Here is an 18680-nt window from a genome sequence, read left to right on the forward strand (position 1 = left end):
TGACAGAGTCTCGCTCTGTCACTCAGGCTGGAGTGCAGTGGCACAATCTCGGCTCACTGCAACCTCAGGTTCAAGCGATTTTCTCATCCCTCAACCACCTGAATAGCTGGGATTACAGGCATGCACCACCATGCCCAGCAATTTTTTGTGTGTGTATTTTTAGTAGAGACAGGGTTTCATCACATTGGCCCAGGTTGGTCTTGAACTCCTGGCCTCAAATGATCTGCCCACCTTGGCCTACCAAAGTGCTGGGATTACAGGCGTGAGCCACCATGTAAGGCCAAGTCCAGGATTTTTTAAAACTCGTCTATGAACCACAGCACTCCCCCAACCTTCCAAATGATATTAATATCTTCCTTTAATGCTCCTACTTGCAATTTATTCATATATTTTATGGCATTTATTTTCAACTTAAAAATACTCTCCCTTGACCTTACTTCTCTAGTCGTTTTTCTCCCCTTTTTTGTTTCTTTTTGTGGTTATTGTTGTTGTTGTTGTTTTGAGACGGAGTCTTGCTCTGCTGCCCAGGCTGGAGTGCAGTGGTGCGATCTCGGCTCACTGCAACCTCTACCTCCCAGATTCAAGCAATTCTCCTGCCTCAGCCTCCTGAGTAGCTGGGATTACAGGTGCGTGCCACCACGCCCAGCTAATATTTTGTATTTTTAGTAGAGATGGGATTTCACTGTATTAGCTAGGATGGTCTCAATCTCCTGACCTTGTGATCTGCCCGCCTTGGCCTCCCAAAGTGCTGGGATTACAGGCGTGAGCCACCACGCCCAGCCAATTATCACCTTTTTTCAAAATCAAACTTCGTAAAGAGTATTCAGCTTTTGCTATCCCCACTTTCACTGTCAACCTACTGTAATGTGGTTTTATGCCCCCATCATTCCACTTAACACTCTTCTCACCAGTGGTTAGCAGGTGGATTCTTTATTGCTAAATCCAATGTACACTTTCAAATCTCATCTGTAACTCTCTCAAACAAACACTGATTGAGTTTTACCTTGAAAACTCTCCACCTTTGGCTGCCAAGATTAGGTTCTCTCCTCATTTCTGTAATTTCCTTCAATGCTGGGTTTCATCTGAATTCTGTGTCTTCAATCCTCTGCTTTTCTGTCTCCCTGGTGACCCACGGTTCCAACTAGTTCTCAGATACTAATAACTCGGCCGGGCGCGGTGGCTCACGCCTGTAATCCCAGCACTTTGGGAGGCCGAGGTGGGCGGATCACGAGGTCAGGAGATCAAGACCATCCTGGCTAACACGGTGAAACCCCATCTCTACTAAAAATACAAAAGTTAGTCGGGCGTAGTGGCGGGCACCTGTAATCCCAGCTACTCTGAAGGCTGAGGCAGGAGAATGGCGTGAACCCGGTAGGCGGAGCCTGCAGTGAGCTATGATCGCGCCACTGCATTCCAGCCTGGGCGACTGAGCAAGACTCCGTCTAAAAAAAAAAAAAAAAAAAAAACAGATACTAATAACTCAATTATTCCTTCTAACCTTTATGAGTTTCACACTCATTTATCCAAGTGCCTGAATATATCCTTGGATACGTCAGTGTGAAAGTGTCCCAACTAAATCATTATCTCTAACTCTTGTGTCAGTTTTAACTCCTCTTTCTAAAAATCAAAATCAAAACAAATTATAATTCTTCCTGGATTCCCAATTACAATAAATGGTTACCATACAATCAGCTGCCAACAACAGAAATTCCGGGATCATCTTTGGCTCCTCTTCTGCTTTTAAACATTAAACTTCATACTTAACATCACTCATCATTCTGACAATTCTGTATCTTTTTTTGTTTTGTTTTAGAGACAGGGTCTCACTATGTTGCCCAGGCTGGTCTTGAACTCCTGGGTTCAAGCAATCCTCCCATCTCAGCCTCCCAAAGTGCTGGAATTACAGGCATAAGCCATGACAATTCTATTTCTTACTAGCTCTCAAGCCCAACCCATTCTCTCCCTTCCACTGCTTTAGTTCAGCCACTCATTGATGCTTATTAACATCACTGCAACAACATAACTGGCCTGGTGCAGTGGCTCACACCCAAATCCTGGCACTTTGGGAGGCCAAGGTAGATCACTTGAGGCCAGGAGTTAGAAACCAGCCTGGGAAACATGGTGAAACCCTGTCTCTACAAGAAATACAAAAATTAGCCAGACGTGGTGGTACACACCTATAGTCCCAGCTACTTGGAAGGCTGAGGTGGGAGGATCATTTGGCCCCGGTAGGTCAAGGCTGCAGTGAGCCAAGATTGTGCCACTGCACTCCAGCCTGAGTGAAAGAGCGAGACCTTGTCACTAAAAAAAAATAATAATTAATTTTAAAAATAGAATAACTGAGGTTCCCAGTCTTCCTCCCTTCAATTATTTCTCCAAACTGTCACCAGAGCCATCTCTCTAAAATGCAATCTGGTCTGCTCAAAATCTTCAGGGTTAAATTCAAACTCCTAGGCCAGGCATGGTGGCTCACGTCTGTAATCCCAGCACTTTTGGAGGCCGAGGCGGGTGGATCACCAGCCTGACCAATATGGCGAAACCCTGTCTCTACTAAAAATACAAAAATTATTAGCCAGGTGTGGTGGCGCATGCCTGTAATCCCAGCTACTCAGGAGGCTGAGGCAGAGAATCGCTTGAACCCGGGAGGCAGAGGTTGCAATGAGCCGAGATCGCCCGCTACACTCCCATCTGGGCAACAGACGGAGACGCCGTCTCAAAAAAAAAAAAAATTCTAACTCCTTAGCTGACATACACTGATCCTTCATGTGCTGGTCCCTGCCTAGCAATGAAACCTTATTCTCCTCCCTCTGTTAGCAAATATCCTATCCTCCAGCCATAACTATCTACAATTGCTGGAACATGGCACCCTCCACCTTATCTCAATTATCTTTTTACATGCTGACCCCCCTCTTCTTGGAAGGCCCTTTCCCACTCTATTCACCTCTCATGACCACCCAGACATCACTTCCCTGATCATCTTCTTAAATGTTCCCATACTGCTTACTTATCTATCATAACCATTTGTTTGCATATCTGTCTCTCCTATCAGATTTGAGTTTCTTATTGGCATGCCTTACTCTTCTTTGTATTTCCGGTCAAGCACAGAGCCTGGTACTTTTGAAGATACTCAATATTCTTATTAAACAGTTTTCTGTGACAGGTTGGTATGTCTTGTCTTCCCTACAAGTTTACAAGTGGAGGGTCCAAGTTTTTTCACCTCTCTAACCTCTGTAGTGCCAAATAAATACTAAGCAATTTTTAAATGTTTGTTGAATAAATAAGATTGACAGCACTATTTTCTGTATATCACAGAATCTTACTCATGCTTCATACTTCTGTATGCAATAGTTCAAACAGATCTTTTCAGTTTTTTGCATTCAGTTGAGAATAAGAGATAATTCACCTCAATTTCATAAGAATATGTGAACAATTGGATTTTAAATTTCCAAAAACAAGCTGCCACTTTCCCTAGACACTCCATTTGGTGATGTCTTCCCAACTCTTAACCACCATAATAACAATCACCTGTACCACTTGTTTAATAGCCTCATGCTTGTTTAAGGCAGTCATCAAGCTTTTTGCCTTCTCTCTTTGACAAACTAGCCTTGAAAATGAGAAGATCCTGTACAAAAAAAGGCCAAAGTTTGTCTCCAACGAGCTCAGTGTCTTTTGTAGGCTGTCTTTCCTTCTCTTCCTTGTAAAAAGCAGCCAATACAGAACGGTATGATACAGTGATTACAAAACAGTGAAAGCATTTAGCTCCGAGTCTGGGACACTAGGTCATCAAAGAAAAGAGAATCCCAAAGAGAGCTGGGTGATTTGGCTGGAAAGGATACACAGCCCCAAAGCAGAAGAAATGGGTGATGGAAAGATTAAGCGAATATACAGGATCAAAGAGAGAACTGAAAGCCTCTTAGACTGCAAAAGATATGGAAAACACAATAGGCCTCATTTTCAAATGTACAATATTCATGAGGAGGGTTTTATTATGCTATTTCAAAGTCAAAAGAACAAGACCTTTGCTTAAAAGCACTCAGGAGGCTGGGCGCAGTGGCTCACTTCTGTAATCCCAGCACTTTGGGAGGCCAAGGCAGGCAATCACTTGAGGCCAGGAGTTCAAGAGCAGCCTGGCCAACATGAAGAAACCCCATCTCTACTAAAAAAAGTGGTGGTGGTGCACGCCTGTAATCCCAGCTATTCGGGAGGCTGGGGAACAAGAATCACTTGAACCCGGGAGGTGGAGGTGGCAGTGAGCCGAGATCATGCCAAAAAAAGCACTCTGGTGATCAGTACACTGACAATTCAGTCACAGGGACACAGCATCACACTTAACTACTGCCAATGTGTCACGGACCCAGCTGCACAAGGATTGCCTTTTTTTTTTTTTTTTTTTTGAGACAGAGTCTTGCTCTGCCTCCCAGGCTGGAGTACAGTGGCGTGATCTCAACTCACTGCAACCTCTGCCTCCCGGGTTCAAGCGATTCTCCTGCCTCAGCCTCCTGAGTATCTGGATTACAGGCACACACCACCACACCTGGCTAATTTTTGTATTTTTAGTAGAGACGGGGTTTCACCACGTTGGCCACGCTGGTCTCGAACTCCTGACCTCAGGTGATCTGCCCACCTCAGCCTCCAAAAGTGCTGGGATTACAGGCGTGAGCCACTGTGCCCGGCTGGATTGCTTATTCTCACTGAAAAAGGAGGGGTTCTAGGAAAACTCAACAAAAAATAAAATACGTTTACTCTTATTTGATGATATTAACAAATCTGTTCATTTTTTAAGGTGTGACAAGAGTATATTGGTCATGTTAAAAGAAAAAGCCTTGGCTGGGCACTGTGGCTCATGCCTGTAATCCCAGCACTTTGGGAGGCCAGGGTGGGCCAATCACCTGAGGTCAGGAGTTTGAGACCAGCCTGACCAACATGGAGAAACCCCGTCTCTACTAAAAATACAAAATTAGCCATGCGTGGTGGTGCATGCCTGTAATCCCAGCTACTAGGGAGGCTAAGGCAGGAGAATCGCTTGAACCCGGGAGGCAGAGGTTGCGGTGAGCCGAGACTGCACCATTGCACTACAGCCTGGAGAACAAGAGCAAAACTCCGTCTCAAAAAAAAAAAAAAAGGGGGGGCCAGGTACGGTGGCTCACACCTGTAATCCCAGCACTTTGGGAGACCGAGGTGGGTGGATCACGAGGTCAGGAGATCAAGACCATCCTGGCTAACACGGTGAAACCCCATCTCTACTAAAAATACAAAAAATTAGCTGGATGTGGTGGTGGGCGCCTGTAGTCCCAGCTACTCGGGAGGCTGAGGCAGGAGAATGGCGTGAACCCAGAAGACGGAGCCTGCAGTGAGTAGAGATGGCACCACTGTACTCCATCCCGGGCGGCAGAGGCAGAGCAAGACTCCGTCTCAAAAAAAAAAATTAAATTTAAATTAAAAATAAAGAAAAAGCCCTTCTCTTTTAAAGATACATACTGAAATATTTACAGATGAAATGATACAATATTTAGAATTGGCTTCAAAATAATATGGGGGAGTATAATGGGATGCTGTAGATTATAGGCCAAGAGGAGGCCACAAGGATTCATTATAATACAGTACATTTAAACATAAATTTAAAAAAATTCATTAAAAAATTCACTCCAGCCAGGCACGGTGGCTCATGCCTGTAGTTAGAGCACTTTGGGAGGCCAAGACAGGCAGATCATGAGGTCAGGAGATCAAGACCATCCTGGCTAACATGGTGAAACTCCATCTCTACTAAAAATACAAAAAATTAGCTGGGCGTGGTGGTGGGCGCCTGTAGTCCCAGCTACTTGGGAGGCTAAGGCAGGAGAATGGCGTGAACCCAGGAGGTGGAGCTTGCAGTGAGCCGAGATCACGCCAATGCATTCCAGCCTGGGCAACAGAGCAAGACTGTCTCGGAAAAAAAAAAAAAAAGTCACTCCAAGCTTCAAATTCTATATATATCAATTTATTTTATTTCCTAATGAAGAAAGCTCAAAAAGGGTTAAACAGGATAATTCTAATGCACCATTAAAAGGGAAAAACCGAGAATTACAGTGAAGTCACTTCCCTTATACTTAAATAATTTACCACAATTCCATTTTATTTATTTATTTATTTTGAGTCTCGCTGTGTCACCCAGGCTGGAGTGCAGTGGCACGATCTCGGCTCACTGCAAACTCCGCCTCCTCAGTGGCTGGGACTACAGGCGCACACCACCACACCCAGCTAAATTTTGTATTTTTTCATAGAGACAGGGTTTCACCATGTTGCCCAGGCTGGTCTCGAACTCTGGTGCTCAGGCAATCCGCCTGCCTCGGCCTCCCAAGTGCTGGGATTACAGGAGTAAGCCACTGCACTGGGCCCACGATTCTAAAAACACAAAAATATATGTATATTTTCATCTTCATGATGCATATGTTCAAACTTAGTAAGACGGTACTAGAGATTTAGAACAGAACTGACCAGATTTAACTGTATAACTTCAAGGTTTAGGTCAAAGCTGTCAACACAATGGGCCTCTGAATATTTACATTCAACCCTGAATGGTAGTTAAACACTAGTCATGCACAGATAGCTTCTCAGGAACTCAAAACTATAACTAAAAATTTTACTGGTTGTGTAAACCTTACCCTTTGAGTCTAGACCTATGCTAAGCCTAGAACAAACCAGTTTGATTGCATCCAAAAGTACTAGCAAACAGACTTGGAAGTATGACAGACATTGTTAATTACCTATCTGGTATCTATTTTCCCTTTCTTCCTTACAAAGGGAAACCTAAATTTACCCAGATAAAAAACGTATTTCCCAGCTTCTTTTATACCCATTTTGGCCAAAGAGATATAAAGTGAACATACTTTTTCCCTTTTCTCCTGTCTGGAACACAAAGTAGCTTTTTTGTGCCCACAAGTAGACAAGCACCAGAGTGAAAGACTGCTGTTAAGGATGGAGAAGAAAATAATATGAAGGAACTGTGGAGCTACCACATCAGCCTTGAGCTACTTTTGTCTACATTTCTTGTTTTATGAGAAAAAAAAAATTGTTTAACCTACAATAAATCAAACTTTCTGTTATTCAGCCCAAAAGTAATCCTGAAATAGAAGGTGCTATAAAAGGTATAAGTTTGGCTCATATTAAAAACAGGTGCTAGAAAATTCCTCAATGGGCATCAAAAGCAGAATGAATAAGTAAATTGAGTGTACTGCATTCCACACAATGGAAAGCCACACAGCAATGAGATGTAATAACATACAACTATATACAATAATAATGAACAAACCTCTAAACAGTGCCGGGCAAAAGAACCAACACACAGAGATACATACTGTATGATTTCACTTATAAAATGTTATGCTGTATAAAAACAGACAAAACTATTCTACTTGTTAAGTCAATACAGCAGTTCTTCATCTGAGTGCTGGTTGCATGGATGTGTTCAGTTTGTGAAAGTTCGGCAAACCAAACACTCTTGTGCACTTTTTTGTATGTATATTACTCTTTGGTAAAACCTTTAAAAATAACTGGCCCTAGATATTGAGAACAACCAGCCCAGCAAACAAAACTCCACCCTTCCTTCCTTCCTTCAGGTCTTTTCCTTCAGATCCTCATTAGCTCAGAAAAGGCAACTGAATGCAAAAATAGCCAAAAAATATAACCGATACAACGTATCTTTAAGTAAACATAGTCACGTTGCAGGAATTATCCAGATTTTAAACTGTAAAACTAAGGTGCTCAATAACAGTATCTGTGTGAACTTTTCCCCATGACTCTTTTAAAAAGAAACAGAATATCAGCCGGGATGGCGCAGTGGCTCATGCCTGTAATCCCAGCACTTTGGGAGGCCAAGGCAGTCAGATCACCTGAGGTCGGGAGTTCGAGACCGGCCTGACCAACATGGAGAAGCCCCATCTTTACTTAAAAAAAAAAAAAAAAAAAAAAATGAAATTAGCCGGGCGCAGTGGCTCACGCCTGTAATCCCAGCACTTTGGGAGGCCGAGGCAGGCGGATCACTAAGTCAGGAGATCAAGACCATCCTGGCTAACGCAGTGAAACCCCGTCTCTACTAAAAATAAAAAAACTTAGCCAGGCGTGGTGGTGCGTGCCTGTAATCCCAGCTACTCAGGAGGCTGAGGCAGGAGAAATGCTTGAACCCAGGAGGCAGAGGTTGCAGTGAGCAGAGATCACGCCATTGCGCTCCAGCTAGGACTCTGTCTCAAAAAAAAAAAAAAAATTAGCTGGGCATGGTGGCACATGCCTGTAATCCCAGCTACTCGGGAGGCTGTGGCAGGAGAATCGCTTGAACCCAGGCGGCAGAGGTTGTGGTGAGCCAAGATGGCGCCATCGCATTCCAACCTAGGCAACAAGAGCGAAACTGTCTCAAAAAAAATTAATTAATTAAATTAATTAAGTAGAATATCAGCATTATATATATATACTTTTTTAAATCACAACTTCAGGGAATTCCAAAATGGAATGCTAAAGATGTCTTAATAAAAAATTAACTGGGCCAGGCACCGTGGCTCATGCCTGTAATCCCTGCATTTTGCAAGGCCAAGGCAGGCGGATCACCTGAGGTCAAGAGTTCAGGACCAGCCTAGCCAACATGGTGAAATCCCATCTCTACAAAGATCAAAAATTAGTTGAGCATGATTGCAGGTGCCTGTAATCCCAGCTACTTGGGAGGCTGAGGAGGGAGACTCACTTGAACCTGGGAGGCGGAGGTTGCAGCGAGTCGAGATGGCACCACTGCACTCCAGACTGGGTGACAGAGCGAGACTCCGTCTCAAAAAAAAAAGATTATCGGCCTCTCTTCCTTTATCTGCCATCATGGTGTGTGCTTGACTCCACTTCTCGCCATGTCTTCTCACAAGACTTTCAGGGTTAAGTGATTCCTGGCCAAGAAACAAAAGCAAAATTGACCCATTCCCCAGTGGATTCGGATGAAAACTGGTAATAAAATCAGGTAAAACTCCAAAAGGAGCCATTGGAGAAGAACCAAGCTGGGTCTATAAGGCATTGCATGATACAACATACTTATGCTGTCTGAAGGTCACAATCATGTTACCATATCGAGCTGAAAATGTCACCACTATCTAGAGAGTTGGACATGTTTTATTGGGAATATATTTTTTTCTCTGAATCTGTTATGAACGTGTTGGTTGGCTAGGTTCAGTAATAAATATGTGAGACCTTTCATTTTTTAAAAAAAAAATCATCCTTAACAATCCCAGTGTCCTGGAAGAAGTAAATGATTCAACTTTGGATATAGTTACCAGGTCTATTGCTAACAGAAGTAAAGATGAAGAAGGTATGCAAAAATATCATAAGAGAAAAACTATTCCATGGCAACCAGCCCTGCCTCAATAACAAAACAACATCAAGAGGACTGAAAGAGGAGGAGGAAGGTACCTGCTGTTTCATGTTTTTGAGGCGACCTTCCAATTCTAGGGCCTAGAATCATGCTGTGAACATTGTGACATTTAATAAACATTTGTTGAATGAATCTGGCCACTCTCCTTTAAAAAATTTTTTACTAATTATCCACTCAATGTGCTAAGCATTACAGGAAAAAGAGGATAAATAAAGCCTGATGTAATGGAGAAAAGACACTTAGAATGTAAATAACTGGCAACGCGGTGGCTCACACCTGTAATCCCAGCACTCTGGGAGGCCGAGGCAGGTGGATGACTTGAAGTCAGGAGTTCAAGACCAACCTGGCCAACATGGGGAAAGCCCATCACTACTAAAAATATAAAAACTAGCCAGGCGTGGTGACACACATCTGTAATCCCAGCTACTCGAGGCGCTGAGGCAGGAGAATCACTTGAACCAGGAGGCAGAGGTTGCAGTGAGCCGAGATCATGCCACTGCACTCCAGCCTGGGCCACAGAGCAAGACTCCATCTCAAAAAAAAAAAAAAAAAAGGAACGTAAATAACTGTAACATTACATGTAAAAATTATGAAAGAGATACCCTAACTGCCTTCGGGACTAAAGGATGTCATGAGTTGACAACTACTTAATAGTTTTTAAATCTGAACTACTAAATCTTAATGAGTAATCATAACATTCATATTCAATTTTTAAACTACTAGTAAAGTTTGTTTAGATAATGCTACAATCTATACATTTGTAACATCCACTAGCAGGACCTCATGTCTATCAGAGCGGACACAGTATTCTTCTTCTCCTAGGGCATGAAATGCTTAACTACATACTCAAGTAATAACTACAGTTTAACATATCTATTCTATGATATAAATAGTAGTACACACAATTATGAATTTTAATACACAACCAGTTCATCATATTCTCCTGCTATCTCAAGCAAAGAATTTCTAAAATCAGTAAAAATCAATAGCAGGGAGCTATATAGAACACTGCAGGGAATAATACTATCATGGCAGCAAAAATACAATTAATGTAGATTAAAGATAACTGCAAATTCTTTGTTACTCTCCCATTGAGAAACAGTGTCTAAATAAATGCCTTTCCCTTGAATCTGGCTGACCTTAGTGATTTGAGTGGGCAACAGAATTACAGACGTGACTTCCAAGGCTAGGTTGTAGGAGACTTGCTATTTCCACCCAGGTTCTCTTGGAACACCTATTCTCTCTGTGATCCCTGAGCCGTAAGTCTGAATACCCTGGGGTCTCCATGCTGACATCACATGATGAAACCACTAAGAAAGGCTCTGAGACTATATGGAGACACTTGCCCCATCCAGTCTCATCTCACCTGACAACTAGCTGTTCCAGCCCCCAGCCACTTGAGTCATCTCAGCTGAGGCCCCACACACCAAGAAGCAGAGGTGAGTCTAATCCACAGAGCCCTGTCCAAATTGCAGATTTATAAACAAAATAAATGGCTGTTGTTTTAAGTCACAAAATTTTGAGGTAATGTATCAGATAATCAGAATTACACAATGCTTCCAAATCCTTGACTAAAGATAAAAGGAAATCATTCAATCTCTCTTTGGGGGTGTTAATACAGATTCAGTTAGAGTGGAACAGTCATCCAATTGCTACAATTAACAGACTTGAATTGAAGAGCTGACCAAGCTACCTTTAATGATTTTGGTATAAAAAAGAAACACTATAAACTCAAATATCAGAAAGGAGGAAGGGGAAAATATTTGTACAAATTACCCTTATCCTTTTGATATTAAGCTTCGGGTTCTGTACGAGCACTTTGTTTTGCTACAAGGTGAGACTGGGCTAAAGGAAAGCACCCAATCAGATTTCTGTTACTGGTTAAAGGATGGTCCTTAACCATTTTGAGGAATCACGTACCCCTGATGAGACTATGGGTCCTTTCTCCTATTTAAAAAAAATATATATATATGGCTGGGCTCACGTCTGTAAACCCAGCACTTTGGGAGGCCAAGACGGGCAGATCACCTGAGGTCAGGAGTTCGAGACCAGCCTGATGAAACCCCATCTCTACAAAAAATACAAAAATTAGCCAGGTATGGTGTCATGTGTCTATAATCCCAGCTACTAGGGAGGCTGAGGCAGGAGAATCACTTGAACCCAGGAGGCAGAGGTTGCAGTAACCGAGATCACACCACACTGTACTCCAGCCTGGGCAATTGAGCAATGCTCTATCTTAAAAAAAAAAAAATACGTATGCACAAATACTCACAAAACACTCCATACAATGTAAGCGAACTTTCAGTCTTTATGGTCTATGGGCCTTAGGTTTAGAACTTATTTTAAAGGATTATTTAATAATGGTACACAAATCTACTAGATGATGTTGGAATTGTTAAAATTATAAAGAAGTGGGTTTTTTTGTGTTTTTTTTTTTTTTGCCAGGCACGGCACCTCACGCCTGTAATCCCAGCACTTTGGGAGGCCGAGGCGGGCGGATCACAAGGTCAGGAGTTCGAGACAGCCTGGCCAATATGGTGAAACCCTGTCTCTACCAAAAATACAAAAAAATTAGCTGGGCATGGTGGCTAATTTTTTGTGACTCCGTCTCAAAAAAAAAAAAAAAAAAAAGTTTTTTGTTTTTTTTCCTTTTCTTTTTTTTTTTTTTTTTTTTTTGGGACAGAGTCTTGCTCTGTCGCCCAGGCTGGAATGCAGTGGCATGATCTCCGCTCACTGCAACCTCCACCTCCCAAGCTCAAGCGATCCTCTCGCCTCAGACTCCCAAGTAGCTGGGATTACAGGCATGAGCCACCAGGCCCAGCTAATTTTTGTATTTTTAGTAAAGACGTGCTTTCCTCATGTTGGCCAAGCTGGTCTCAAAGTCCTGGCCTCAAGTGATCCCAAAGTGGTGGGATTACAGGCGTAAGCCACCCTACTCAGCCATTAAGAAGTGTTTCACTCAAATTCCAAAAACAATCATTTTTTCATTAATCAATGGAGGACCCAGCAATTGAAGTCTTGTGTGTATTTAATGTCCACCGATTTTAACCTTGTTATTACTCAATTTCACTATTTTAACACCAGACAATAACCTTCTGAGAGCTGCCTCAGAAAACACATCACTCTAAAATAACTTGATTCAAATTAAGGTTGTCTTCTTAGGACAGTGGTTTAGTCTCATGCTGATATTAAACAGTACAGGATTTGGAGATTCTTGTTCTCACTTATAAACCTCTTAAGATTAAGGGTTCAGCTTTATAACTCTTTTAAGTCTTTAGCACTCAACACTGAACTTGTACTGGGTCTTCTTTGTTTTGAGTCAGGGTCTCTATCGCCCAGGCTGAAGTACAGTGGCATGATCTTGGCTTGCTGCAACCTCGACCTCGCAGGCTCAGGTGATCCTCCCATATCAACCTCCTGAGTAGCTGGGACTACAGGTACAGGCCATCATGCCTGGCTAATTTTATTTTTTGTAGAGACGACGTCTCTCTATATTGCCCAGGCTGGTCTCAAACTGGGCTCAAGCAATCCTCCCCCACTTAGGCCTCCCAAAGTGCCAGGATTACAGGTGTGAGGCGCTGCACCCGGCCAATGTACTGAGTCTTTTTTTTTTTTTTAAACGGAGTCTCACTCTGTCGCCCAGGCTGGAGTGCAGTGGAGTGATCTCCAGTTACTGCAACCTCCGCCTCCCGGGTTTAAGCAGTTCTCCTGCCTCAGCCTTCTGAGTAGCTGGGATTACAGGTGCGCACCACCACGCCTGGCTATTTTTTGTATTTTTAGTAGAGACGGGGTTTCACCATGTTAGTCAGGCTGGTCTAGAACTCCTGACCTCGTGATCCACCCAACTTGACCTCCCAAAGTGCTGGGATTACAGGCTTAAGCCACTGCACCCGGCGAGTCCTAATGATGTTGGTCAATCAGCCTACAGCAACAGTTCTCAAACTTTTTGTTCTCAGGAATCTTACACTTAAATTTATTTAGAATCCCATAAAGCTTTTGTTAGGTTGGTTACATCTATTGATGTTTACAGTATTAAACACTGAAAACTGAGAAATGTCTTAAATATTAATTCATTTTAAAATACCAACAAACCTGTTATATGTTAACAAATATATATTTTTATTAAAAATATTTTTCAAAACAAAATTAATGAAAGAGTGGGACTGTTACACATTTTTGCAAATCTCTTTAATGTCTGGCTTAATAAAAACAGCTAAACAGCTGGATTTTCACATCTGCTTCCACATTTAATTTGTTTTATCACAAGTCATGTTAGTTTCTAGAAACGTCCATTGAACACTCATGAAAGAATGACAGTGAAAAAGACAAATAATGTCCTAGTATGAACATGAAATAAAAGAATCTATTTGTATCCTAGGTCCTTCATTTCTTTATGTATCTCTTAAATAACCTGACTTCAAAATGGAGCAATAAATTCTACATTTTATAATTATTTCTTTATGTTGCTCTTCCATCAGTCTACAATAAATTTCAAAATGCTTCCTAGACGCTTCTGGGAAACAAAATAAAAGGCTGACGAAACTAAGCATTTACGCCTATACTTTTCTTCCTAGTAACCAAGTAAACAACTACCTAGGGAAACACAATGCCCACTTGGGAATTAATCTAGATTATTAGTAAGTAGATCCATCCAAAATTCATCTAGATTATGGTTAAGCTTTAAAATGTTAAGTGTACATTTTGTACAATAGTACCAATCTGCAAAAACCTCACTTGCTCTCACGAAATGGTACAAAACTGGGTTAAAAGCCAAGGGAATAGGTGTGTTAAATTTAAAAGTTCAAGTACATCGTGGAGTTGAATGAAAAATAGTTTTCTGAATAACTACCATTAAATGAGTAAAAGTCCAAAAATAATGTAAAAAGTCAAAGTCGGCTGGGCGCGGTGGCTCACGCCCGTAATCCCAGCACTTTGGGAGGCCGAGGTGGGCGGATCACGAGGTAAGGAGATCGAGACCAGCCTGGCCAATATGGTGAAACCCCGTCTCTACTAAAAATACAAAAATTAGCTAGGTGTGGTGGTGAGTGCCTGGTGGTGAGTGCCTGTAATCCCAGCTACTCGGGAGGCTGAGGCCCGAAAATTGCTTGAACCCAGGAGGCGGGAGGGTGCAGTGAGTGGAGATCGCACCACTGCACTCCAGCCTGGCGACACAGCGAGACTCCGTCTCAAAAAAAAAAAAAAGTCAAAGTCGTCTGAGCAAACAAAAGACCAGACAAAAACTTTATGAATTAAAAACTAGCCATAAAGTTGTTTAATTAGAACAGGATGAGGAAGAAAAGGGGAAATCGATCACTCCTGATTAAGTGCAAATCCCAAGTAAATTATTGATACTAACAGTGAGCTGGAGCACTTTGCCTTACCAGGCAACTTTCTGCAAATATTCTGCAACGACTCTACATACACAAAGTTTTCCTATGCTTTTCCTCAAAAATATGAGACTTCCTCAGGTTAATGCCCAGGTGAGATGCTTTTTGTTGCTCTAGCAGTTTAGTTCTATTTTCTTTCTTGGTTATTATGAATGCTCTCTTACAACTGGAGAGCTAGGATGAACCAATCCCGAGTAAGAAACGGGAAAGTACAGTAAAGAGGCGACAGCTCTGCACCCCCACACGGAAAAAGACTCAGAGGAGAGCAGCGGCATCCTTGCCCTAGCTCCAATCCGAACGGAGGCAGGATTCCCAACAACATCGGACGTCTCCCTCCCTCGCCGCCCCACGCCCTCCCGACGAAGAAGCAAAAAGTGGAGAGTCCAGCCGCTTCTCAGGGCCACGGAGCCTCCCAGTCAGGGATTCTCTCCCGTTACATAACTAAGGCCTAGGGCCCTGCTTCTGCGATTAGTCCTCTGGAAGGAGACGGACGGGTTCTCCAGAGACCCTCCCAGGGAGGTGGAAGCGGGGCTCTGCACCTAGTCGACCCGGGAGAAAGAAGTGGGACGACATGAGGGAGGCCGCCACCAAAGGCGGTGGGGTACGGGGGTGATGAGCGAGCCCGGAGAGGGGCGGGCGGCTCCGGGAGCCCCGCAGCAGGCCCCGGCACCTCCGGCCGTAGTCGGCTCCTCTCCCTCGCCTGCCTAGTCCCCACCGGCCGCCCCCTCCCCCATTCCGCGCTCCCCTCCCCCGCGCCTCCATCCCCGACCCCAGCCTAGCGGCAGGCAGACCTGCAGGGAAGGCCCTGGCCACCGCCGTTGGATGGCTCCCAGCCCGGTACCTGGTCAGACATGATGACGGTGGCTTCACCCGGGGGTCTCCGCACAGCAGCGGCCTCGGGTAAGCAGAACCTCGCTCCGGGGTTTACAAATCCTTCTCCCTTCCCCACAGCACAACACCGCGGCTGCAGTAACTTCCGCTACGCCTCGCGTCACTTCCGCTTCGCGCAGGGAGGAGGGAGAGAGAGAAGAGAGGAAAGACAAGGCGGGAAATGGGTGGGGGAGCAGCCAAGGGGAGGGGCAGGCTGTGGAGCTGCTTTGCCGGTGGTCGCGCGGGTGAACGGCAGTTTTGTCAGCTCCTTCAAGGACCAGGTCCTGCGCATCAGTACTAGGGCCATCCCCCAGGAGCAAAGGTCCTGGCTCCATGTCTCAATGTTTGGAGCCACTCTCACAACCTAGATTGCTCTCTCCGTTACACCTTGCGCGTCTCTGACGACTGAGCCGAGATACTTCTTTTGTCTCCTCCCAGCCTTGCTCATCAACCCCCAACCCCCAAATATGTTTATTTGAATGCCAGTACTTCTAGCTCTAGAACCAACATTTTCGGTTAACCAGCACCCTTGCCAAACACATGACCGTGATTTAAAACAACAAGAAAGCAACGACCCAACACAATCTTGACGGCTACTGATGCTAAAGACCGCTGCTGAAAGTTCTAAATGGGGAGTGAGTAATTCCAACCCTTGAATTGGTTGCTTTGAGTTAAGGTTAAAGAATGATTCTTCTTGGCAGGGCGCTGTGGCTCACGCCTATAATCCCAGCACTTTGGGAGGCCGAGGCGGGCGGATCACCTGAGATCAGGAGTTCGAGACCAGCCTGGCCAACACGGTGAAACCACGTCTCTACTAAAAATAACAAAAATTAGCCGGGCGTGGTGGCTGGCGCCTATAATCCCAGCTACTAGGGAGGCTGAGGCTGGAGAATCGCTTGAACCCGGGAGGCGGAGGTTGCAGTGAGCCGAGATCCGCGCCATTGCACTGCAGCCTGGGCGACAAGAGTGAAACTCCCTCTCAAAAAAAAAAAGGTGGCGGGGGGGGCGATTCCGCTCCCCTCGCATGGGGAAGCAGGCTCTGACCGGCCTGCAGAGCTGCAGCAGCCCTTTGCGCCCTCCTCGCCCTCCCCACCAACATCATGCTCCAATTCCTGCTTGGATTTACATTGGGCAACGTGGTTGGAATGTATCTGGCTCAGAACTATGACATACCAAACCTGGCTAAAAAACTTGAAGAAATTAAAAAGGACTTGGATGCCAAGAAGAAACCCCCTACTTCATGAGAATGCCTCCAGCACTGCCTTCGGGATATACTGATTCTACTGCTCTTGAGGGCCTCCTTTACCATCTGAACCAAAAGCTTTTGTTTTCATCTCCAGCCTCTGGGCTCCTCTTTGCTAGACCCTGTGTTTTTGGCTTTAGAGCAAGCAAAATGGGGCCTCAATTTGAGAACTACCCTACATTTCCAACATACTCACCTCTTCCCATATTCCCTTTCCAACTGCATGGGAGGTTCTAAGACGAATTGTGGTGCTAGATTAGTAAACATGACTTTTAATGGAAAAAAAAAAAAGAATGATTCTTCTTAGATTTCTTCTGTAAAACACAATGGCCCTACTGGCATACACAGTGGCCCTACGGGCATACTCATGGAGGATAAGAATATAAACAAATAGAATTGAGAATCCTGAAATAAATCAATAACCCTCACATTTACATCAACAAAAACACCAAGACAAATCAATGGTGAAAGAACAGTCTTTTCAACAGTTGGTACTACCACTGCTGGACATTCACATGCAAAAGAATGACTTCGTTTTGTTTTTTGTTTGTTGTTTGTTGTTGTGTTTTTTTGGTCACCATCTCAAAAAAAAAAACCAAAAAACACACACACAAGGAGGCCGGGCACCGTGGCTCACACCTGTAATCCCAGCACTTTGGGAGGCCCAGGTGGGCAGATCTCTTGAGCCCAGGAGTTCAAGACCAGCCTGGGCAACATGTTGCAGTGTGCCAAGATCATCCCACTCCACTCCAGCCTGGGCAACAGAGTAAGACCTTGTCTCAAAAAAAAAAAACAATCAGGCGTGGTGCTTCACACCTGTAATCCCAGCACTTTGGGAGGCCAAGACGGGCAGATCACTTGAGATCAGGAGTTGGAGACCAGGCTGGCCAATATGGTGAAACCCCATCTCTACTAAAAATGCAAAAGCTAGCCAGGCTTGGTGGCTCAGGCCTGTAATCCCAGTTACTCGGGAGACTGAGGCAGGAGAATCGCTTGAACCTGGGAAGCGGAGGAGGCTGCAGTGAGCTGAGATCACACCATTGCACTCCAGCTTGTTACTGGGTGACAGAGCGAGACTCAGTCTCAAAAAAAAAAAAAAAAAAAAAACAAGGAGATACCACTTTATACCCACTAGAAGGGCTATGTTCAAAAAGACAGAAAATAACAAGTGTTGACAAGGCTATGGAGAAATTAGAACCCTTATACCCTGTTAGTAGGAATATAAAATGCTTTAGGCTAGGCATGGTGGCACTGGCCTATAGTCCTAGCTACTTGGGAGGCTGAGGCAGAAGGATCCCTTGAGGCCACGAGGTGGAAGCCTCAGTGTGCTATGCTATGATCAAGCCTGTGAGCCAATGCACTATATAGCCTGGACAACACAGCAAGACCCTGTCTCAAAAAAAAAAAGTTTTGAAAAACTGTCTGTCAGTTCCCAAAATTGTAAAACATAAAGTCACCATAAGACCCAGAAATTTCACTCCTAGGTATATACCCGAGAGAATTGAAAACATATATCCATTCCAGACTCAGTGGCACATGCCTATAATCCCAGCACTTTGGGAGGCCAAGGCAGGAGGATACCTTGAGGCCAAGAGTTCAAGATTACAGTGAGCTATGATTGCATTCTAGCCTGGGCAGCATAGTGAGACCCTGTGATATGGTTTGGCTCTGTGTCCCCACTCAAATCTCATGTCCAGTTGTTATTCCCAGTGTTGGGGGAGGGACTTGGGAGGTGAGTGAATAATGGGGACAGATTTTCCCCTTGCTGTTCTCAATATAGTGAGTGACTTCTCACGAGATC

At 44.1% G+C, this 18680-nt stretch overlaps 1 protein-coding gene and 2 pseudogenes across 7 annotated transcripts in view, besides 1 other annotated feature; 2 read left to right on the plus strand and 1 right to left on the minus strand.

The window, feature by feature from the left end:
- The window catches only part of SUMO1 (small ubiquitin like modifier 1), a 32427-nt gene extending 16662 nt beyond the window's left edge, over window positions 1–15765 (minus strand). For all 7 annotated transcript variants that reach the window (NR_163943.1, NM_001005782.2, NM_001371392.1 and 4 more), the window contains exon 1: window positions 15608–15765. Coding sequence is in view for 6 of the 7 variants with exons in the window: in NM_001005782.2 (NP_001005782.1) it covers window positions 15608–15619 (12 nt within the window). In the remaining variant the exon portion in view is untranslated. The remainder of the gene's footprint in view (window positions 1–15607) is intronic.
- RPL39P14 (ribosomal protein L39 pseudogene 14) lies at window positions 8816–9212 on the plus strand (annotated as a pseudogene).
- Window positions 15230–15419: a silencer, noted in NCBI's record as "silent region_12240". NCBI's record gives its function as "represses an Ori minimal core promoter by ATAC-STARR-seq in GM12878 lymphoblastoid cells {active_cell/tissue: GM12878}" and the evidence as "EXISTENCE:reporter gene assay evidence [ECO:0000049][PMID:35858748]".
- STMP1P1 (STMP1 pseudogene 1) lies at window positions 16671–17157 on the plus strand (annotated as a pseudogene).

The sequence above is a fragment of the Homo sapiens genome, chromosome 2 (assembly GCF_000001405.40).
Source record: "Homo sapiens chromosome 2, GRCh38.p14 Primary Assembly".
Taxonomy (NCBI): domain Eukaryota; kingdom Metazoa; phylum Chordata; class Mammalia; order Primates; family Hominidae; genus Homo; species Homo sapiens.